Raw genomic sequence first — 24,466 nt, 5'->3', positions numbered from 1 at the left:
CATTGTTTTCAGTAAACATCTGGGAAATATAATGGCTTGATAATTTCCAGTGAAAATGTGTCCTTCCCTTCCATTCTCTAAAACTTCCCTGAATCTGTGAATTGACTTGTTTATACCTGACCAGTCAAAATGTGAATTTGGGGGAAGAATGTGCAAAACCAATTCAAAAAGCATATAGGGAAGTCAGGATGCTGCTATTAGGAGAGAAAACCCTGCATATGCTTCAGGCCTGGGAGAGCTGCCCCAGCCTCACCTGCAGTTGTGAACCACGATCACATCTCCTGCTCCCAGCTCTCCAAATTTCCAGAGACAGACATTCTACAAGCCAGACTCCTTTGCCATGACACTGCTCAAGACGTGCTTCATTTATTTCAATTTCTGATTTGCACTGTGGAGCGAAAAGCAATCTATCATCTCTTAGGGGAAGAAGGCCATTTGGAAGAATCTATTTTGTACATTCATAACAGCATTGCTGGTTCTTGATGAATATCAAATAACAGCAGCAAAAGAAAGAAATAGGGAGACAGAGGGGAGGGGAGGAAGGGTGGAGAGAGGAAGATGGGAGGAAGAGAAGGAGGAAGAGAAGGAAGGAAAGAACAAGGGAGGGATCAAGGGAGGGAGAGAGAATCCTATCAAAGAATCCTCAGAGTTGCCCATAAGCCCAGACACCAGAGTAGTCAACAGGCAAATTTGTTTACTTCTTTTCATAGATGGAAAAACAAGCCACGGAAGTAACTTTTCACATAAAAGTGAATTTAAGGCACCTGAGACTTTAATGTGTGGGCAGATAATAAAAATTCTGTTGAAATGTTTTCATGTATCTGTGCCTAAAATAACATTCTGAGATGTTATCATCTTTTAATTCAGGTTCTCCTCGTAGTTTCCCTTTTTCCACCCCCTCCCTGCCCGAAAGAGTCAGATCCCTGTTCATTGCATCATGGAAGGTACGAGGAAGAGTGGAAAACAGAAATACCTTATCAATTTTTGGCACTTAATTTATAAAGGGCTGGTTCTTAGGAGACAATGATAGCTACCACGTACACAGTTAGCATGTGCTGGGTGTTATTCCAAGTTCTTTGTTCTTAACTCATTTAACTCTTACAGCAGTTCTACATCGTCCCTATGCTACAGAATGGGAAAATGAGGCACAGAGAGGTTAACGAAGTTGCCCAGGTGTGTACAGGTAGTAAGGGGTAGAGGCAGAGTTTGAACAAAGAAGTCTGGCTCCGAAGTCCAGGCTCTGTGTCACTCCACTGTAGGGTTTTACAACACTACGATGCCTCACTATGCTAACATGCTTTTCTCAAAACCTAAGTAGGGTTTTTGAGGAGATAAATGGCATATGGTTGTAAAGCTTTGGTAAGATCTTTTGCTTACCAACAGTAACAGAGAAAGACTTGCACACTCAAAAACAGTGCCCTCCTCCAAGTGCCTGGGGGAGGAATGGGCATAAGAACAAAGAGGACCTCCAACCTGATCTCGGCAGGACCTCTGGAGGAAGAGAGGGAGAAGGAAGGGCTCTGTGTGCAGCTTCCAGAGGTCCCCAGTCCTGGAAAGAAGCAGATTTTCCATAAAACTAATGAGCTGCAGAAGCCTTCACTGGCTTAGATCTATCTCTCAGTCCTCAGGAAGAAGTGTTGGTCATGTGTTCACACTGTGACATGCAAAAGATGCTTTAATTATCACAGTCCATCAAGACCTTTGTTCAATGAGGTTGATGCAAAAGTCATTGTGGTTTTTGTAATTACGTTCAATGGCAAAAATCTTAATGACTTTTTTTTGTTTGTTTGCTTTGTTTTGTTTTGTTTTGAGATGGAGTCTCGCTCTGTCACCCAGGCTCAAGTGCAGTGGCGTGATCTCAGCTCACTGCAAGCTCTGCCTCCCAGGATCATGCCATTCTTCTGAGTAGCTGGGACTACAGGTGCCCGCCATCACACCTGGCTAATTTTTTGTATTTTTAGTAGAGACGGGGTTTCTCTGTGTTAACCAGGATGGTCTCGATCTCCTGACCTCGTGATCTGCCCGCCTCGGCCTCCCAAAGTGCTGGGATTACAGGCGTGAGCCACTGCGCCTGGCCAGTGACTTTTGCACCAACCTAATAATCTCTCCTCTGTCATGCATCCCAAGTTGCATGATGGTCCAGGGGCTGCAGGCATGCTTGCCATGTGGCTAAGGGTTCTTTGAGTTGTGTGTGCGTTTGTCTGGGTTTAGTGGGATGTGTTTGCATGGCCGAACTCAATTCTCAGTATAGTTATGGTAGCTGTCTTGCTGTAGGAAGAACTTCCAGGAGTAATTCTTCCCCACCGTGTCAACCCACTCAAAGGTGCTGGGTCAGGGTTTATTTCCTAATATGAGCTTGTTCTAGAAGTGAGCCTGATGTGGATAGTGCAGAAGAAACAAGTTTTGAAATGAATGGAGGGAGAAATTTGTCTATAATTATCCCTCCAATCATCAGAGGTATAAAACTATCAATTAAGGATTTGGTTTTCATCAATGCTTAGTCACAACAAGATTTCTGATGATTCAATGTTATCTGCAACCTGTTGCATTTCCCCACAATTCATATGTCGAAGCCTTAACCTCCACCCTCCCCCCGTGGCTGTATTTTGAGATGATGCTTCTAAGGAAGTAATTAGAATAAATGAGGTCATAGGATGTGGCTTGATCATATAGATTGGTGAATTTATATTAAAAGGATTGGATGTCTTTTGGTAGTAACATATTTTGAGTTTGATTGTCATCAAAAGCATCTTGAAGCATCTCAAAGGCAATTCTTTAAAATTCATTTTTAATTCTTCTGTGTTTGTTTATATGTTTTTTAAAAATCAAATATTCCCAATTACATCAGTGTATATCTCAACTTTCTGGCAAGGCCACCTGATTATCAGTGGTATTGACAAGAAAGCACCCTCTTATCAGCACAGAGCCTCATTCCTTTGTATAGTTCACAGGTCTCTGAAAAGCCTCCTGCATGGGCATTAATTGCTATTCAGAGCTAACTCCTAGCGCCAGGAGATTTTTGTCTTTCTGAAGGTTTGCCTGTCAGTGTGACTGGATTATCTGGCTATTAAACTGTGGTCCTTTCAGCATGCCGACCCTCTAAAGAGATTGTGCTAGCAACTCGAGATAAAGAAGTGACTTTCTGTAAGTGTAAGCAAACTCCAGCCTTACTCTTAGAAACAACTGACAATCCAATGTGCTACTTAATCAATCTGCAAACAGCTACTGCATGGCCTCTGGGTGCTGGATGCTACCGGAACATTAGCACTGTAGGAGTTCAGTCAGGCTGGTGGGAAAAGTATTGGTTATAATAGCCACAAACCCTCTTGGAAGGCCTGAGAGTTTGCATAACTTTGGTAATAGATCTGGCTGCAGTTGGCCTGGTCACTTTACCTTTAGTTAAATAAATTAGAGTAGTAACAAAGGAATATGGGGAAGTTATCTATGTAGCTTGTTTACTCGTGTGGTCCTAAGACTAACCTTTGATCTACTGTGGGTGCTTAATTGCTTTCTACTCTGGAAGTCCACAATGTCAATTACCCTCTAGTGGTGTTGACTCAAGCCTTTGTCAATTAATCTTTATTGAATAAATGCGGGTCTCCCTTGCAAGTCGAGGCCGCGGTCGCAACTGTTTACAGCACTCTGCTTGGAGTCTGTAAGCGGCTCAGACACTCAGCCGGACTGGCAAAACAAAATATCTGTGTGTCAGTGTACTTCATTAATCCGTCGTTGGGTCAGGGTCTGTGGGAAGACCCCCACGTAGCACCATGCTGGGTAACATCCATCAGACGAGGATTTTAAAAGTTAGGCCGTTGGGTTTGTTTTAAGGTGATGTGCTTTCTAATTTTGGAGTTGGAGAATTCAGAGAGGAGAGGAATTGAGGAGATAGGCCAGAGACTAAGCATATTTCCTGCTTTGTCATGGAGAAGAGGATTAATAAAACATGAATTGTGAACCATCAGAATAGAAACGATGCAATACTTAAACATTATGAGATTATAGTTGATTGGGGTTTTCTTTTTATCCTTTTTATGTTTTGGCCAATTATTAAATATTACTTGCATGGTTAAAATAAGATGAAGGTAAAATAGTACCTGCATTACTCAGGATGCTTCAGCTCTAGAAGGATAAATACCCAACCAGCAGCAGCTTCACCCAGAAGGAACATGAATTGCTTCCTTCGCAAGAATTGGGAAATCTGTGGTTCTGTGCCTTTGTTCAGGTTTCCATGATGTCATGTGAGGTTTAACCACTTTTCCTCTTTCTTCACTGTCATCCTCTCTGTTTTGGCTTTTTCTCCTCTTGGCTGTCATCTCATGGTGACAAGATAGGGGGAGCAGTGCCAAGCATTACATGTGTGTCCCAAGCAGGAAGGAAGAAGGTGACAAAGTGGCTTTCATCTTAGAGATTTCCCCAGCAGACACTCCCCGTTTTGCTGAAGAGAAGCCAAGAAAACCAGTGACTGATAAAGGGGATCTTGATGGCCATGATTTTCATCTGTGGCCAATCACAATCTATGTTCTGTGCGTGGGCTGTGGCCAATCACAATCTATGTACTGTGGCTGGGCTGTGGCCAATCACAATCTATGTACTGGGAGTGGGCTGTGGCCAATCAAAATCTATGTACTGTGGGTGGGTATGTTGCACTGCAGTCACATCAGGATTCTATCAGCAAGAAAATTCCTACATGGGTGGACAAGCAAAAATGTCAGTCCCTGCCTTCACCACCTTCCTTTCCACTCGTGTCGAGAGCCCTAAAGATGACCTGATTCTCAGCTGGGGCTCTTCTATGAACAGCTGGTAGCCATAAGGAGCAGAAAAGAAAACTTCTGATTCTGAATCTATCAACTTAGCCTCTGACACTGCATACAATGCTGCATCCTACAGCCCCCACTTTTTTGGGTAGACGGCCATCAGAATCCAAAGTTTATATTATTCTGAAGATCTGTTTGTTGTAAACAACAAACATATACAAAAAAAGGCCCATATACAAGTAAAACAAACAAAACAGGTTTGTTTATGCGTCTAAGATTCATTCTAAGGGGCTTTTTTGAATTCAAAATTGTTTTACTTGTATATGGCCCTGTGAATTTTCCAATAGAAAAGAGTCATGCTTCTGTGTAAGTGCTAAGAACATGCCCCTGAGAAATTGGAGACAGCCAGTTCTCTGCTTGAGGAAATCTTATGGGGAAATATATTTCTTTCACACGTCTGTGGGAGAAAGAGAAATAAGGAACAGGGGAATGGAAAGAGCCACTTCCAATCAATTAATCCACCAAAGCCACCTTTTGCAGATGGCCCCGTGATTGGTGTCCTCCATCCTGCAGCCTTGGCTTGAGGCTTAGGTCTTGTATGTATGTGAGCTGAGCAGTCTTCTCTTAAGATGCCTGAAGTCCCACTACTAACAAGATCTTTAAGCATTTCCCTTTCTAGTCTTCTGCTGTGAAAACAAAAACAGCTCTTCTAGGGCACAAGAAGGATAAATAACACAAGGAGACCCTAACGTTACATTGGTGGTATGAGATTAAAGACACGGTTTTGTTTTTTGTTTTTTGTTTTTGTCTGTGTGAGACAGAGTTTCGCTCATTGCCCAGGCTGGAGTGCAGTAGTGCGATCTCAGCTCACTGCAACCTCCACCTCCCAGGTTCAAGCAATTCTCTTGCCTCAGCCTCCTGAGTAGCTGGGATTACAGGCATGAGCCACCATGCCTGGCTAATTTTTGTATTTTAGTAGAGACTGGGTTTCACCATGTTGTTCAGGCTGGTCTTTAAGTCCTGACCTCAGGTGACCCACACACCTTGGCCTCCCAAAGTGCTGGAATTACAGGCATGAGCCACTGTGCCCAGCCTAAAAATGCTTTTATTCCTTGTGAAAAAAATTGACAGAAGGAGCTTCCTGGACAAAGTGGAAAATCAGAGAGGTCACACCTTATGCTGCTGTGTGCTTCTAAAGACCGCACGAGCATGAAAATTAGGCATGGTCAAAATGGCTCAATAAATTCAACACAGACAGTGTTTTCCTCCAAGGTCGCAGATCACCAGTCATTTGTTGTACCACAAGACCCAGGACCTGACACATATCTTCCCTTACCATTCCCTTTTTGAGAGATTACCAATACTCAATCAAGGTGAGGTTTTCTTGCTGCCACAATTATAAAAAACTCAGCTCTACTTCATCAACATGTTTGTCTGATGGTATTTCTGGGGTGGCTGATAGTTGACACTAGGAAGCCTAAGATTAGAGACATAATTACGCATTTAAGGTCTCCTAGTGTCATAACCATACTCTGCCCTTTGAGGAGAGTATATCAACCACTAGTATTTCAGCCATTGCTTTATGGCTTTGTATTGGTATTTTCCCATTTCACCCACTTAAACTCTTTCAGCAGTGGTGTCTGTGCTCAGGTAAGAGGCAAATCTGTAATTCCTATGGATGGTGGATAGGATGTCACTGTTAGAATTTCATTGCCAGGAGGGAGAAGAAACACCACTGAATAAAGAAAGTCTTTAGAGGACCTCAAGTCATTTAACCCCTCAGAAAGCCATAATGTAAGACATAAGAGATGGATTTTAATGGAGCTGTTATCCTCAATGTCAGGCCAGCCTGCAGCATGCTCTCCCATGGGTGTTTATTGTCCCAATTTCCCACATAAAACGGAGGATGTTTCGTCTGTGGAAATTCCTTGAAGGAAGTTTGGCTCTCAGCTGTTCTCAGCCTGAAGAGGAGGTTCAAAGAGGTATTGGAACCCTTGTGAAAAGGTTAAGTTTTCTAGAAATAATGAGTGGTCAACAGATCCTACTACATAAGAAGCAATCTTCTTACTGCTTCTGAGAAGTAGAAAAAGAGGACTAGAGGAGGCAACGCTTAATCTAAAAGATTACTAATAATGAAATTTGGGGCATGTCAAGAGGTTGCCACTCAGATCCTAGCAGACCCAAGGCCCAAGCAGAAGACTGAGGCTGCCTGGGTGGAGGACGTCAGTCATGAGAGGCAGGTGCAAAGGTGGCTTTCCAGAAATAACACAAGGAGCTAGGGAGTGTGCCAGAATCATTTATGGCCTCTGGATTCATGGAAAAGTAGGTAAAGAGGCAGCCGTGACCACCAGTTGATAGGCCTCCCAGCAGGCAAGATGTCTCTAGGTGGTTTGTGGTCCACACTGACTGGGGTCTCACTGACAGTAGCAGGTTGTAGGGTCACACCTTCACTAAGTATGTCATTTCACTTTCCTCCCCAACAAGAGCACTGCTCCCTGTGGGTTGCCTGAAGATTTAACCTACTTAATATATACTTAGTTGCCATAAAATACCATGAGGGCAGTGTTGCTTATTGGGTATGCTTACTCTCATTTTACAAGGACACGAATTGGCTTATTTTTTATTTTATTTTATTTTAGTGAGTCAGTTCCTGCCTTATGAGGCACAAGTGTGAATACAACCCAACTCACAGAATAATAGCAAATCAACAGTAAACCTCCCCAACCCACTGGCCCCAAGATGCTGTTCTGCAGCTGGTTCATACTGAAGTTCTATCTGAGGTCAGAGACTTACACATTTTAAGGATTTTGTTTTATTCCAAGCCATTTGTTTTTCCTTCTATCTCAGATTTGCCTGTATATGAAAATATGCTGCATAAATTATAATCTTTGCTCCTAATGTGTATTGCTAAGTTGCTTGTCACTTTTAGCAGCAGTTTCTGTTTAATGACCATTCTCCTTTTAATTCAAGTATTAAGAATCTGTAAACGACAAAGTGCATATGGTAATGCTTCATAACCCCTTGTTAATTTATTATGTATTAGTATGCTCAGTAGCTACCATATATAGACTGAATAGAGTCTACTTTGTTACACTCTCCAAAATTCTTGTGCTAATGCAATGAGACAATCTTTGCTCAATAGCAGAACAGTGTCTGACATATGCTAAGTGCTCAATAAAAATCAGCTAGTACTTTTATTAAAGATATTTAAGTTATTCACTTATGAACTCTGCATGGAACAACTGTACAAGAGGCTCTGTGTACACCAGTCAAGAGAGAAGGCATGTTTATTTAGACTAAACTTAGTCTAGGTTTTGAGATCCCAGGAGCATAGACAGATACTGGGGAAGAGTAAGATAAGTTTACACAGCCTGGGCAAGATGGTGAAACCTCGTGTCTACTAAAAATACAAAAAAAAATTAGCCGGGCATGGTGAAGGGTGCCTGTAATCCCAGCTACTCGGCAGGCTGAAGCACAGAATTGCTTGAACCCAGAGGCAGAGGTTGCAGTGAGCTGAGATCACACCACTGTACTCCAGCCTAGGCAACAGAATGAGACTCCATCTCAAAAAGAAATAAAAAAAGATAAGTTTACCTATGTTGCTTGAGCTTCTCTTTAATTCATTTAATTTTGTAGTTATACAACAACAGATTAGCTTGGTTTTATCTATACTTACTCTTGGAGTTTAACCCAGCAATGGATGGCTCATTCCTGGGAGAAGAGGAAACGACACGACACTGTACTATAACTGGTGACAAAGCCTTAGTGGCAGAGCCAGAATCAACAGCCATCTGCCCCCAGCGTTAGCATTTTTCTCAGTGTCAATAATAGCAATATTAGCTGAGATGTATCCATGTTTACTCCATCACAGGTAACTTATTTAATCTGCCCAAGACCCTGGTGAGGGATTAGCCTCATTAAACAACTCTTTATGAAACAAATCTTAAATCAACACGGGAGACCCTCAGACTCCAGATTTTGTGCTCATTATATGTAGTTTTGTTCCCAGGTCTTTCTACTTTTCAATAATTTAGGTGATAGAATTATCATTTTAAAAAAATGAACTTAACAGTGCTAAGCCTTAAGTTCAATATTATGTTCAGAGAAAGCTTTCCAAAAAGGGAAAAGCAATGAAAATAAAATCTTGTCAGGTTTGGTACTTTTTTTTACTAATTCTCAATTTCATTTTCTATTATGGTTTTAAAGGTAGAAAATACATATTTTAACCTTTCTGTTATTTATTTGTTTTAATATTGAAAGCCTCTCAGGGGTGTACTACCCAGAATCTCTGCTCACATTCTCCTGCCTTACCTTTCCCCCAGAGGCACAGGTGTTTATATCATCTGTTACTCTCTGAGCTTTTGGGGGACCCCTCCCTGGTTCAATGCTTCATGTTTAGCTGTGACATTACCATAGGTTGATTGAAGGATCCCCTGGAAGTGCTGCCTCATCTCTCTTCCACATGGCCAAAGTCAAAGCAAGCAGAAAGGGGCATATAGAAGCCCCTCCACTGAAAATACAAAGCCCACTGGGAATTTATTTTTTCTCATTCAGAAAAAGGTGACCTTTTACTACCCTCATAGAGAAAGTAGAAATTTTCTCTTCTCAGAAATATCCATGAGGATCAATACTGGCTATTGATTGAAGTTTAAATCTGACCTTCATTTCTATTATTTCATGAATATCACATGTTCCATGGATCTCGACATGTTGACAGTGTCTAGCACAGCCTTAGACTGCAGTCACAGCAAGAAGCTGAGGACTCGCCAGTAGAACATTCTTGAAACAAACTTCTTAAATGTTTTCTGAAATGCACTTAAGGACATTTCCTTGCATATCCTCATTCATTTATCTAAATCCCTATTTTGCTAAATTCAAACCTTAGCAGTACAAACTTTAAAGACAATGTGTTTTCGTATATTCAATACTCACTGGAAAAATTAGCTCTTCCTACTATTTTTCCTAGAACTGTACCCTTTAAAGCTCTGGAAAGCAGTGGAAGGCAGAACAATGGGTCTAATTACAGAGATATTCTAGTTTTAATTTTAATCACCTAGTAGTACCCATACTATTATTTATGTGATCATGAAAAATAAAAATAAAAACTAATTGTGTGAGTAAAATCTGATTTTAAAAAACATTTTTCTAATATTTAGCCTTGTCAGCACACATAAAAGAAATATTTTTGCATTTATAATATTTTAGGGGCTAAAGTACACTGATTAAATATACTGTTTTGAGCAAATCATAAGTAATGCAGCCTTTACATTTTGGACTATCAAAAATGCCATTCACATGTAATTACATCTCATCACCAATCTTTCTCAATGGCCATTTAAGGCTTTAAACTCATCAGAGCAACATCCAGTTATAAAGAGGGTCTTCTAGTCCAATAACCACCACTTCCTGGGTGTATGTCAACAATGAATTCATTCCCTGATTACCTTAACAAAGATGGGTTGCATGCTTTCTAAGGGCCAGGTGTTTTGTTAGGTTTATTCATATTTGTTTTATAACTTCACATATGTTAGCATCATCACTTTATAGGAAAGAAAACTGAAGATTAGAGAGTTTAAGTAGTTTGCCCAAAAAACACTTTATCATTAAGTTTGAATTTGGATCTGTGGCTTCCTCTGTAACCAAATATTACAATTTCAGCATCAACTTTTCTCATTGGAAAGGGCATTGAAATGGTGTTTTAGCGGGTCATCCTACTAAACGCTTCCTTCCTTCTTTCCTTCCTTCCTTCCTTCCTTCCTTCCTTCCTTCCTTCCCTCCTTCCTTCCTTTTTTTCTTTCTTCTTGACTTTACTGGGATTTTTTAAAAATCTCTTTTTCTAGCAATACAAAGGTTTGAGTAAGCAAAATATTTCTGTCAAAGTGATAATTTGTCTATGCGAAGCAAAACATCTCAACTTACTGAAAACTTTATTTTTAAATTCCAAGCCTGCTCTCTAGTTGGTGACACACATCTGAATCTTGGAGGAAAGTTTTGGCCCCACTAAAAATGTGACAGTCATCAGCCTAGGGACAGTACCTGGAACAAACAAACAAAAAATTATAAAAATGGGTGAGATATCAAAGGAGAGTGTGTGGATTGAAAAGACCAGTTGGCTGAGAAAAAAAACAGCCAACCAACTAATCAACCAAAAAACAAACCAGCCCTCAGGAAACAGGCTCATGCAGAGGGCAGGCAGAGGCCAGGGAACCATGCAGGAGTAAGAGGATAGCAACTGAAGTCAGAGAGATGCCTGGTGGCTGAGAAAACCACAAGAAATAAAGAAGAGTTGGGTATAAATCTACTACCTTAAATCTGAATTATCAAGGTCAACCTTTAACCAAAATCAATATCTAAACGTTGCCAAAGAATAATAACAACCCATTGGACAACCAGGATCCCGAGATCCTGGTCTCTAAAACTAACTCAGCTGGAAGAATCCAGGACTCATTGGAAACTGGCTGGTTCCAAGTCTTGGGGCAAAAATAAATTCAGAAGGTGGCAGCAACTTGCTGATGTTGCTGGAAAGCAAGAATACATTTTAAATATCAAAAGGAATGCTAAAGGGGCAGAGAAATTTAATAAAAGGCTTTTATAAGGCCAGTTGTTCAAAGCTTTAAAAACAAAACTCACAGCAATGGATTATTGAAATAAGTTGAGTTAATGAAAGGAGGTGAGTTAATTATATTCAAAGAAAAAAAGGATTCAAAAGGGAGATAAGATCTTTTTACTGGAATAAGTGTGTGGCATTTGTGTGTGTCTCTCTCTGAGTGTGTGTGTGTGTGTGTGTGTGAGAGAGGGCGAGAGAATTTTACTTATTCTGTTAATCACATGGACATATGTATGTGTGACAAAATTAATGGTATCAATTGTATGATGCTTTAGAATATGTTGGAATTGAACTATAGTAATGTTTTATAATAACTGACATTTTATGTGTTCTATTATTTAGGATTTATTAAGTAATAAGACAAGAACAGCCATTTTAAAATGTCATTTAATTTCTCTAAGGAAATTTAAAGAATGTGGAACTGAATTTGGTACTGAATGTTCAAAGGCCTAAAAGTTTTTTCTCAGTCTTTATGTAATTTAAACAAAACCACGTAAATTTTGTTGTCAGTGTTTCTCCTTTTCTACTCCTGAGTGCACTGAATGACTGGTTTTTATTCTGGTAATGATATGGCTGTATGTGCGTGCAATGAAATAAAAATTAATTGCATCGATTGTATGATTTTTTTGTCCCAGAGAGCCTGGATTAATAGAAGTCCAGTTTCTATCAGGCAATTATCAACAGTGCCCAAACAGGACTGAAAATATTTATTTGATCTGTCAGTAAAAGTGGAGTAGGGTGACCTCAGCAGAGCCAATTCAATTGATTGAGCGTTGAGGCAGGAATACTGGAAGGTGTGTGTCCTTGACGGTATTAGTCCCTAAAATGAAAGAGCCAGACAGAAACACATGAAGTGTGCAGAATGTCAATGTGTGTGTATCTCATAATGTCTGGAAGTGGCCCTGCCAGGAAGGAAGAATATGGAAAATGTGCAGAACAAAATCAGTAGCTGATACGTCAGTCTCACCAAGGGCTAAAGCAACTGAGCAGGAAGTCTGACTCCAATCAGAACTGGGCAACGTGGGACTGGAATCCAAGGTGTTGGGCTGTAAGGTCATTGCGCTTTGAAACGTGGGCAAATAAGACACTTGAAAAGGCCAAACAAGGCAGCCCATGGAGTGAGAAAAATTACCCAGTGTATCTGCTGCTCCAGAGCTGCTCCCAGCTGAAAATCTCTCATCTTTAGCTAATTGAATCCCACTGAGGAGATAACTTCAACAATTTTGAAGAATAAATTCCAGTTTGCCTAGGATAGTAATTCCAATTTTCTGGAAATATTAAAGTGATTTCCTTAATATCTCTTTAAGCTCAGGAAAATTTAGAATCAACAAAACCGATGATGAATTATATCAAATCTGTATATTTTATTTATTTGCTAAGGTAAGGAGTAATTGGGGAATTTTTTTGTACTTAAAAAATTTGTAATTGTTAAGACAATTTATGTTATTAGGTTACAGATTCATCTTTCTTTTCCAGTAAAAAGGCAATTTAGAAATCAATTTTTGACTTTTGTCTTTAAGTTGAAAAGTTTAAGAAATTAATCTAAATATAAAAACAATAATAGAATGTAAAAATAACATTTATTTATTATATTTCTGGGCTTGTTTAAATACTTAAGATAGTTTTGCTTGTTAAATAGCATATGAATTGCTTAACAAGATAGTGGATATATTCAATTTACAAATACAGTTTAAAATATTTAAAGAAATTTAGTTAAAGCTTTCAAAATTATCTTATAAATGTTCAAATAGATTTGCAAATAAAATAGTAAGACTTGTAAGTTGAACATAATGACTTTTGGAAAATCTTAAGTTTGGCATTTTATTTACTTGAATATTTTGATTAGTAATTTAAAAGGCAAGGAGCCACAGATAGTCTTCTCTATGCACTGAAGCCACCCTTCAAGGCAACAACTCATACTAACAAAGTGGAATGAGCTGCTACTGGGACATGGACCACTCTGGGAGGGTGGGTGGAAAGAGAGAGGAGCAGGAAACAGAAGCTCATTCATGGAAACCACAGGAGCAATAAACCAGAGCTGCCAAGAAAAGCACAGAGGATCTTCAAAATATAATACTAAGGGGAATATAGATCTAGACTGCAGTGAAATATTTGTGAATTTAAAACACATGCATACACAACCTGTAATTATACACCATGCAGAGATTCAAAGATACCACACAAGAGCATACGTCAAGCACATGGGCACCTCCACAAGGAAGGGGTAATGGTAGATGAGAGAGGGGAAAAAATGAGAGGGCCTGGCAGCAACAATCGTGATAGGACCATAAACTAAGGAGTAGGATCAACCAAACCCATGGCTACCTGTGTTTTCAATTGTTTTAAAAGAAAAAAGAAAAGAAAACAAGGACAGAAAGGAGAGAGGGAGAAAAACGAACTAACAACCATACACTGGGGTTGATTCTATCCTGATCTGATTTGCAAAAGGCCCTTCAACTCAGCCTTCCTGTTGCAGGTTGGAAAATATATATATATATATACATATAGTTTCTAGTGGGAAACTAGGTATATATATCTTCAGACTCACTTGGCTCAACAAAATACCAAACTTCATGGTAGTTACTATTCTAAGAGCAACTTCTTTCTTTTGCCTGTCCCATCACTGGGATCTGATAAACACTAAATATTGGTGATAATTATGAGAATAGTAACTGGAGTTTGCATTTCCAAATGTGTGGATGAAGATAAGGTTCCCTTCTCAATTTTTTAAATGTTACCATTTCTCGCCATCCCCCAAATTTGTACAAGTCATTCTGAAATGAAACACCAACTATTCGCACATTAACTGAAGAAATTAATTTTTGCCCCTTCTTCCCTCTTTTTGTTCCAACCATTAAGAAATGTGAGAAACTAATTAGTCTTTATGTAAATTTAAATTAAACCATGTATATTTTGCTGTGGGTGTTGCTCCTTTTCTACTCCTGAATGCTTTGAATGAATATTATTTATTCTGGTAATGAGATGTCTGTATGTGCGTGTGATGAAATTAAAATTAATTGCATCAATTATATGATTTTTTTTTGTCCCAGAGAGCCTGGATTAATGGAAGTCTAGTTTCAGTCAGGCAGTTACCACCCGTGCCCAAACAGGACTGAAAGTATTCATTTGATTTGTCAGTAAAAGCGGACTAGGGGTCGGGCGCAGTGGCTCACACCTGTAATCCCAGCACTTTGGGAGGCCGAGGCAGGTGGATCACGAGGTCAGGAGATTGAGACCATCCTGGCTAACAGGGTGAAACCCCGTCTCTACTAAAAATACAAAACAAAAAACAAAAAAAAAGAATTAGCCGGGCATTGTGGCGGGCGCCTGTAGTCCCAGCTACTCGGGAGGCTGAGGCAGGAGACTGGCGTGAACCCGGGAGGCAGAGTTTGCAGTGAGCCGAGATCGTGCCAGTGCACTCCAGCCCGGGTGACAGAGCGAGACTCCGTCTCAAAAAAAAAAAAAAAGTGGACTAAGGATCTCTGCAGAAGCCTCTGACATTCCCACACTTTACCCCAGGACAAACTTCAAGGTGGGAAACTGGTCAACAAAATAAAGGTAAGAGTTTCCAATTTCCAAAGGTGGGAATTGTCTCCGCAGGACAGAGGTGCAGAAACACTTTCCCATAAAAGACCAGATAGTGCATATTTTAGACTTTGTGGAGGAAGAGGCAAAACTGAGAATATAACATAAGTACAAGAAAGGAAACTCCTGCTTTCTCCACCCCATCTGCTATTTCCATGATACTCACCACTTCAGATGCTGGGCTGCAGTGCTGTGAGCCTGCCAGCTGGATGGAGCCTCTGAGAGTGGAGGGGGAATCATGGTGGAGCTTGGTGTCTGCAGCCCACAGTGCTTGCCCACTCAATCCCTGACTGCTGGACATAAGAAAAACAGGCAGCTGCTTGGAGTTGGCTCACAGGCCATGGTCCTTACTCTAAGGAGTCATATCTACCCATAAAATGAACAATCCATGGATGAAGATGCTTAATTGAGAAAAGGGAGTATAATAATTACCGGATGAGAGGGCAGGTCTTTAATCTGGGTGATGGCAGGAGCAATGGATTCACCAAACCCCTTTAATTTTCCTGCTAGCCACACTACTGGACTATATTGCCCAGCATCCCTTGCAGTTAAGTTGGGGTCATGTGACTGGGCTCTGGCCAATAAAAATGATGTGAGCCTGGCAGTAGAACTTTCTGCCAGATTCCAGATTCCACGGTGGCCATAGCAGCTGTGTGTTATGTGTCATAATGCAGAAAGACCAGGGTCTTCAAATGACTACATAAAGCAGAGGTTTTGCCACCACCCGCCACACTTGGGATTGTAATGCAAAGAAGAAATAAATCTTTATTGATGAAAACCACTGGCATTTGGGGGTTGTTACAGCAGTCAGAAGACTGGCTAATAGAGGCAGCAAGAAATAGAGGGGAGAGAGAACGGTGCCCATGTGGGTTATCCTGCAAAAAGGGCTCACTGTCCAATGTGCTGGAAGCCAGTACTTTGACAACAGGTTTCTGAGAAAAGGAAAGCTTTATACTGCAAGTTGACTCACAAGGAGACAGGAGTGAAGCTCAAACCTGTGCTAGTTTCTATTAGAAAAGGTTCACAGGGTGGATTCTGAGATTAGTAGGTAATTGGAAGGAAAGGGGAGGTCTGGAAAGTCTTTCGGCATGTACAATTATCTTTTTGTGCTAACTCATATGCAATTGCAGGGGAAGTTAGTATGAAACATGCAGTGAAAATTCAGGCTGTGATGCCAGTAGGCTCGTCCTGTACAAACTCCAGTCATCCATATTGGTTCCACCTGATTTCATTTTACCTCATAAGCAAAGTTTCAGTGCTTCAGCAAGTTTTTTCTTTTCTTTCTTTCTTGTTTGTTTGTTTATTTGTTTATTTATTTATTTATTTTGAGACAGAGTCTCACTCTGTTGCCCAGGCTGGAGTGCAGTGGCGTGATCTCAGCTCACTGCAAGCTTCACCTCCCAGGTTCATGCCATTCTCCTGCCTCAGCCTCCTGAGTAGCTGGGACTACAGGCGCCTGCCACCACGCCCAGCTAATTTTTTGTATTTTTAGTAGAGATGGGGTTTCACCATGTTGGCCAGGATGGTCTCGATCTCCTGACCTTGTGATCCACCCGCTTTGGCCTCCCAAAGTGCTGGGATTACAGGCGTGAGCCACCGCACCCGACCATTGTTTCTTTTCTTATCTGCCATCCCACAGCCTCAAGAATTTCTGTGAGCTACTGGTTTCTTTAACTTTTGGGGGCAGAGTTTCACGTGTGCCCCACAAAGTCCTAATAGTTCCATAATGAGGGACCCACACCTCCTAGAGAGGGGATGTTTCTGAAAGGGTCATCACTGAGGAGCAGAGCTGGACTAATACAAGATGAGACAAGGCATGCCAAGATAGAGGGCAGCCTTCTCAGTGGGAGGCTGTCATTTTCAGAGAGAAATAAGCTATGTTTTCTCCATTTCATCTGCCTCCTGGTAAGCTATCATCCTATGGTATCTTTGAGATGAGGCACCCATACTGTGCTCTGAAAGGAACAATAAAATCACCTGAGAGTCTTCAAACTAGGTGAGAGATAAACGACAATGTTAGAAGAGGAGTATCCACAAAACCATGAGTATACAGAATAAGAAGAAAATATAAGCTGAGAATAGAGGGAGTCAGCAACAGTGGAAGATGCGGATTTTAGGGAAATGTGCCGTGCGTGAACACCACAGGATAGCCAACCTTATGTTGTCTATCCTAGAGGAGTCACTAGGGAAATATCCTAGCAAAATTACTTTGTTTAACATGAAATTTTCAATAATCAGAACTTACAGAGTACAGTGGTTAAGAGTGTGGGCTTGGAAGCCGGACTGTGTGAGTTAAATCTTGTATCATTTGCCAAGTCTGGGACCTAGAGCAAATTTTCACCAAGCCCCCTGCATTTTCCTGCTAGCCACATGACTGGACTACATTGCCCAGCATCCCTTGCAGTTAGGTTGAGATCATGTGATTGGGTTCTGACCAATGAAAATGATGTGAGCCTGGCAGTAGGATCTTCTGCAAGATTCCAGATTCCAGGGTGACCATAGCAGCTGTGTGTTATGGGGCTATAATGCAAAAAGACCAAGGTCTTCAAATGACTACATAAAGCAGAGGTTTCCCTGCTGCCCCCCACAGCTCCCTGCTGCATTTTCTCATCTGCTAAATGGGGATGGTATTATTCTTTAATTCATAGAGATCTTGTAAGAATTAGCCTAAAACAATTAAGATACATTTTTTAAATGTGGCATTTATTAGGCAGTTGATAAATGCTAATTATTATAGCATTTAGTAATGCTTTAATAATAGCATTGGAGGTGTGAAAGTTGATGTGGCTGAGAAGCTCAATTGAATGGAAGCTCAATTGCCTGTTCCCATACACAATATCAGAAAAGTTATTTTGAATATTCATGGGACACCAAGAATAATCCAAATGGGAGGATGAGAGTCCCAGCCCAATGTCAGTACCTATTTTCTCTGGGAGGCTTCTTAGGAAAACCAGATATCTCATAGTTGAGCAGGGCTCTCTGCACACAGGCTTTACAGATCTTAGATTCTCTGCCCTGTATCTCTCACAAGGTCTCAGTTCTCTGAGCTGAGTCCTGTTCTGCTGTTCATTTAAGAGTCTCCAAGTGGAGCCCACCATAGTCTAAATTGCCAAAGCCGCTGATACAGGTAGGTGTATTACTTTAGCTCAGACACCAGCACAGCCTCTGCTCTGTTCCTGTTGTTATCTGCCCTTGGTGTTATCCAGAGGTCTGAGCTGTTGCATCTTGATCTCCAGGAGTTGGTTCCCTCGGGCCTAGGTCTTGTTTTCCAGGTCTGTCTCCATGCATGGCCTCTGCTCTGGGTCTCTTCCTGCCAAACTGCAAGATCTTTATCATCAAAGTATCCTGGGGCCAGGTATCATATTTACCCAGGAAAAGCGCAACACATGGTCATGACATTATAGTAAAGAGTCTTGAATTCAGATGGAGGAGGAGAAAGAAACCTGTCCTGGGAGTCAAGATTCCCAAAGTGCACCTTCATCTCAATTAAGAGGCATGTTAGCTCTGCTGTCTAGACATTCCTAGAAGGGAATGAAGGGAAACAGATTTCAGGTATAGTGTTTTCTTTTTTTTAATTTTTATTTTAAATTAAGGGGTGCATGTGTAGGTTTGTTACATAAGTGGACTTGTGTCATGGGGTTTTGTTGTACAAATTACTTCATCACCCAGGTAGTAAGCCTACTACCCATTAGTTATTTTTCTTGATCCTCTCCCTCTACCCACCCTCCACCCTCCGACAGGCCCCAGTGTCTGTTGTTCCCCTATATGTGTCCATGTGTTCTCATCATTTAGCTCCCACTTATAAGTGAGAGCATACGGTATTTGTTTTTCTGTTTCTGTGTTAGTTTGCTCAGGATAATGGCCTCCAGCTCCACCCATGTTCCTGCAAAGGACACAATCTCGTTCTCTTTTTTATGGCTGCATAGTATTCCATGGTGTATATGTCCCACATTTTATTTATCCATTCTATCACTGATGGGCATTTAGGTTGATTCCATGTCTCTGCTATTGTGAATAGTGATGCAATGAACATATGCGTGCATGTGTCTTCGTAATAGAATGATTTATATTCCTTTGGGTATATACCCAGTAATGGGACTCCTGGCTCGAATGGTATTTCTGTCTTTAGGTCTTTGAGGAATTGCCACACTGTCTTCCTTAATGATGGAACTAATTTACACTCCCACCAACAGTGTATAAGAGTTCCTCTTTCTCCACAACCTCACCAGTATTTGTTATTTTTTGACTTTTTAGTAATAGCCATTCTGACAGGTGTGTGATGGCATCTCAAAGAGCTCCTGCACTACAAAATAAACTATCAACAAAGTAAACAGACAACCTACAGAATGGAAGACAATTTTTGCAAACTATGCATCTGACAAAGGTCTAATATTCGCATCTGTAAGGAACTTAAACAAATGTACAAGAAAAAAAGCAACAACTCCATAAAGAGTGAGCAAAGGACATGTCTTCTTTTCAAAAGAACACATACATGTAGCCACCAATCATATGAAAAAAAGATCAGGTATAGTGTTTTCAGTGACGGGACAGGCATGGAGGAAGATAATCAAAGTCCTCTTATGTGACATGGCAAGGAGATTAGAGTGAAAGAGAACCAGGAAGATGAGGAAAGAGGAGCAGACACAAAAATGGAGAAAGGAGGGTAAAGAAGAGTTGAGGTGGAGAGAGAAGACTCTAAAGACAGAGAGGATGGACATATGAAGAGAAGTTGAAGCTCAGGACCTGGTAGAGAGCCATGGGGTTTAACCTAAGGTATGAATGAATGGAAGCAAGCCATGGCTATGGTTGCCACCAAGCCAAGAGATGTGTTTCCCCTTGACTGAGGGGTGTGAGACCCCCAGGGTCAGGGCTCCTGTTCAGTCACAGGACTTTCCATCCCAGCTCAGATGTCCCCAGAGAGGATACAGCAGTCACTCCTAGAGGCCACTGCAGGGAACTGAAAATTATTCTCTGCTCCATTTTTTGTTGGTGGGGAGAAAGGATGAGGAATTAGTCACGCCCTTGTGGGAACCCAGAAGATGCTTCCCTTAAGAGCCCTGCAAGGCCACAGGGACTCTTGCTTGGGCCCAGGAAAAATGCTGCTTCCAAGGAAGAAGCAGCTCTGGCCCTGGCCTCCATTCCTTCAGTCCTCTTTAGTCTTCAGCCAGGGACAAGGACCCCAGGCTGCCCAGAGATGAGAATGAGAACATAGGTATGTTCTATTGCAGAGAACATAGGTTTGGGTTAGTGTCGCATGGGATGGGGATGGGGGTGGTCACAGGAGGCAGGAGGATCTGAAAGAGGTCTTGTTCACAAAGCACCCTCTTCTGTCACATCCCACTTGTGTGCTCACCAATGCATCATGTTAAGTAGTGCTGGACACATGCAAGATGTCTTTCTCCTCAGAGTAAGCCTCACAAGAGTAGGAAACAGGGGGTTGGGGGAGGAATACGGAAGGGAATAGGCATTCTCCTTGCAGCGTGTTGGCCCAGAGGAAAGAAAAAAGCCCTGAACATGTGGTGCAGCCCTGGGCCTCTCAGGATTCTCAGGAGGATGCAAGACCAAAGGAAGCCAGGGTAGGCATCTGGGGACAGACAGGCAGGTGACCCCAGTCCCAACCTCCTCTATCCCACTCTGTCTCAGACCACTGAAAAGCGGTGATGACTCTGGGAACCCCCTGCCCAGCCCCACAGTCTGGCAGCAAAGAGGAGCGTGGGGTCGGGATAGACCACAAGGACTCCTCTCGGTCTGCCCCCCACCAACTGGGTTACCTCAGGCAAGGTGTTTCCCTTCAGTTCTGGGTCTAAAAACACCATTAAAAAGAAAATATCAGAAGTAAAAATGTAATTATAAAGTGCTTACCTAAGTGCCTGGCACAATGCAAGTGCTCACCTCATTGCCTGGCACAGTGCAAGTGCTCAAAAGCTGAGAAACTTCATGGGGGATGGAAGGGGGAGGAACAACTCTGAAGGAGGGAGGCTGAGCCTCCGCGATTGCTGCGGCACAGAAGTGATGTCCCACGAGCTCAACACCTGAGCCACCAAGCCCCTGCAGTGGGAGAGGAGTCCTTGTTGTCCTCATTTTGCTGTTCTCATCAAAATCTGCCCCCAAACCTGGCTGTCTTGGGAGTCTAGTCACTTCTTCCTGGCTGTTTCCAAGGATGCTGAAGACCACATTGCTAGGAGACCAGGTCAGAAGATTCTCATAAGGTGATTCCCCTCCTGCTACCAACTTAGAGAAGAGCAAGCTCCCATTTCTGCTTTTATAAAACTGCTGCTTCTAAATTTCTTCCAAATGTCTCATTTCCGAGTGGACTTTCCCCTCTAAACCCGTGTAATTTACCATATGATGTGTGTTTCATTCAGTGTAAATCCATATCTCTATTTGTTGTTGTTCACTTTCTGCCAGAGGGACATCCTAAAATGTTTCCTGTAGTGCAAGACTGCTGGTGGTGAATTGTTTCAGCTTTTGTATGTCTGAAAAAGTCTTTATTTCACGTTTACTATTTCTGAAAGACATTTTTGCTAGGTATGTAATTCTAGGTTGACAGTCCTGATATTTCAATACTTGAAAGATACTGCCTTACTGTCTCTTGACTTGTGTTAATTCCCATGAGAAATCATACTCAACTTTGTTCCTTAGAACTTAACATATTCACCTAACATGCCTTTTTTCCTAGGTCTTTTAATATCTTATTTTTGATTTGACCAATCAATAATGTATAATAATAATGTATGATGTGCCTTGGTATCATTTTCTTCAGTTTCATTCTTTTCTTTTTCTTCTTCTTCTTCCTCCTTTTTCTTTGCTATCAGGCTTATTGGATTTCTAAAATCTGTGAGATTATCTTGGCCACTATTTCCTAAAATGTTTCTCTTCCCTCTTCTTTCTCTTTCTTTTAGGGACTTCTAATATATGTATATAAGACTTCTTAAAGTTTTTCCACAGACCACAGATGTGCTGTTTATATTTGTAAAGTTCTTTTTCTTCTATGTTTCATTTTGGATCATTCAATGGCTGTTTCTTCAAGTTTACTATTTTTTTTGTTCTGCAATGTCTAATGTGCCATTGTTTCCATCCAGTGTCTTTTTTATCTCACACGCTGTAATATTCATTTCCAGAAATTTGATTTGGTTCTTTTTCATATCTTCTATGCCTTTCCCTAATTTTTGAAAATTGGATTACACTTATAATAACTGCTTTTTCTATACTTTTCTGCCAATTCTATTTTGTGTGTCTATTCTGGATCTGTCTCAATTGATTGATTTTTTTATCTTTATTATGGGTTGTATTTTTCTGCTTCCAAAACTCTAATAATTTCTGATTGGATGTCAGATATTATGACTTCTACTTCTTGGCTGCTGAATATTTTCGCATTTTTATAAATTTTCTTGAGCATTGTTGTGGGATGCAGTTAAGTTGTTTGGACATAATTTAATCCTATCAGGTCTTACTTTTAAGGTTTGTATGGTAAGACTGCTATAGCACTTAGTCTATGATGAATTAGTACCTATTAATGAAGCAAGATCCTTCTGAGTACCCTACCCAATAACTAATTAATGATGAGGTTTTCCCGTGTGGCTGGTGGGAACAGGTACTATTCCCAGTATCATGTGATTGCTGGGTGCTGTTATCTCTAGGGTTTTTTAGGTGCTTCTTTCCCCAGCCTTAAATGGTTTCTTCACATGCATGCACTGATCAGTGCTGGACTGGATACTCAAGGGATTCCCACTGCGGTTCTTCAAAATTCTCTCCGTGTGCAGCTGTATCCTCCCTCATACTCTGTCTTGCAAACTCCTGCTTTCTCTTCTCAGACCCTCGGTTCTGTCTCCTCAGCTAAAGGAGTCTGGTTACCCTCTTTGTGTGATGTACTGGAAACTCTATCCCTGTAGTAAGCTGGACAATTGTAGGGCCTGCTTTGCTTTTTTCTCATCTTTCAGGAGCCAACATCCTCTTTTGCCTGATGTCTAGTGTCTTGCAAACAGCTGTTTCATATGCTTTGTTTGGTTTGGGTTGTTTATGGTGGGAGGGTAATTCCATTTCCTGTTATTACATCTTGGCTGAAATAGAACCTCCTCATTGCAACTTTAATTGCAATTTTAAGTAATTTTTACTCCATGTCCAATTTTAGCCACTTATTAAACAAAGTATTTGAACACAATAAGTCCACTTAACACTCAGCCATTTTATAAGGAGTGTTGCTTTATTTCAGTGACCATTTATCCTACCCTAGGCACTGATGTATGATATTTATTCATCCATTTAAAGCTCAATTATTGTTTGAAGGGTATGCAATTATTTAAGATATTCATTGTGAAAACAGAGGATTCAGGGATGAAGAAATACACATGAAGAGCATAGCTTGCAAATGATGGAAGCTGGATATCAACCCAGGCAGTCTGTCCCTAAAACCTGCACTCTTCATTGAAGAAGATGCTATGCTGCCTAGCCCAGGGTGGAGTCGTATCAACCATGATTAGAAACATATTTTCAGAGCAATACCCCATTGGGATCTTTCACAAACAATAAACCTCTTATTTCAGTGTTAAATATGAATCATGTCACACACAGCACACTGAACGGACAAAGCTTCTTTTAAACAGAAGAGCAGTTTCCTGCTCTCACATGGCCACAGATGAGCAGGGTAATGCTTGTCAAGGGCCCAGAGTAAAACATGCTAGAGGAGGAGTCAGGAGATCTTAGGTAAGACATTGCACAGTTTGCTTTTCACACTGTGTGGATTAGTAGAAGGAATAGGAAGGGCCATGACCCAAGAAAGGGATGGTGGGAAAGAGTGCTGTCAACCGCTTCAGTAATATCCAAATAGCCACATCAAAAACTAACCACTTCTGTGCACTGTCCCTCACCGTTTGCATGACTTACATTTCACTCCCACCATGACTCCATGAAATACGGGTGCTCTCACTTCCCCAATTCAAAGATAAGGAGTTTTGACGCTTAGAGAAGCTGAGAGAGTCACAACCCAAGATCACATCTCTAATGGCTGGTGAAGGTAGGAGTCACACTTAGTTAGGCCTCTGGCTGCAAAGTCCTCATTCTTACCCAGTATCTTCCATTGTCTCTCCAAATACTTTATGGGAATTAATTCATTTCCTCTCCCTAGCAGCTCTCGGAGGTAAGCACTATCACTAACTGAGGTAAGTACTATCATTAACTGATAGTACTGTGTCCCCACCAGATCTCATGTTGAAATGTAATCCTCAGTGTTGGAGGTGGCCTGGTGGGAGGTGTTTGGGTCGTGGGGTTGGACCCCTCATGAATGGGTTAGGGCCATCCCCTTGATAATGAGTGAGTTCAATTCACACAAGATCTTGTTCACACAAGATCACAAAAGATCTTTCACTTGATTTTATGATGTGAAGCGTCTGCTCCCACTTTGCCATGAGTAAAAGCCTGAAGGCCTCTCCAGAACCTGAGCAGATGGCAGTGCCATGCTTCCCGTACAGCCTGCAGAGCCGTGAGCCAATTAAACCTCTTTTCTTCATAAATTACCCATTCT

The 24,466-nt window shown here is 41.2% G+C and overlaps 2 long non-coding RNA genes across 8 annotated transcripts in view, besides 1 other annotated feature; one reads left to right on the top strand and one right to left on the bottom strand.

Moving 5' to 3' along the window:
* The window catches only part of LOC107984447 (uncharacterized), a 55,612-nt gene extending 54,750 nt beyond the window's left edge, over positions 1-862 (top strand). Inside the window, exon 4 of the long non-coding RNA XR_001749374.2 lies at positions 711-862. This is a non-coding gene — a long non-coding RNA (uncharacterized LOC107984447). The remainder of the gene's footprint in view (positions 1-710) is intronic.
* LINC02359 (long intergenic non-protein coding RNA 2359) overlaps positions 1-17,336 on the bottom strand; it is an 82,665-nt gene extending 65,329 nt beyond the window's left edge. For 2 of the 7 annotated variants that reach the window (NR_186740.1, NR_186741.1), the window contains exons 1-2: positions 15,113-15,515; positions 254-388 (exon numbers count right to left, since the gene is read on the bottom strand). This is a non-coding gene — a long non-coding RNA (long intergenic non-protein coding RNA 2359). Of the gene's footprint in view, positions 1-253; positions 389-4,094; positions 4,436-7,546; positions 7,735-9,165; positions 9,265-10,664; positions 10,791-15,112; positions 15,516-17,191 lie in introns of those variants that run through there. The other 5 variants (NR_110053.2, NR_186739.1, NR_186737.1 and 2 more) reach the window with 5 other exon arrangements.
* Positions 2,695-3,234: an enhancer, noted in NCBI's record as "NANOG hESC enhancer chr12:126592791-126593330 (GRCh37/hg19 assembly coordinates)". NCBI's record gives its function as "activates a minimal SCP1, AML or CMV promoter by ChIP-STARR-seq in naive H9 embryonic stem cells {active_cell/tissue: H9 hESC(naive)}" and the evidence as "EXISTENCE:reporter gene assay evidence [ECO:0000049][PMID:30033119]".
* Positions 17,337-24,466: the final 7,130 nt, after the last annotated feature.

Source organism: Homo sapiens, chromosome 12 (genome assembly GCF_000001405.40).
Source record: "Homo sapiens chromosome 12, GRCh38.p14 Primary Assembly".
NCBI lineage: Eukaryota > Metazoa > Chordata > Mammalia > Primates > Hominidae > Homo > Homo sapiens.
Note: the sequence above shows the minus strand (reverse complement) of the source record. Positions and strands in the feature narration are given on the sequence as shown.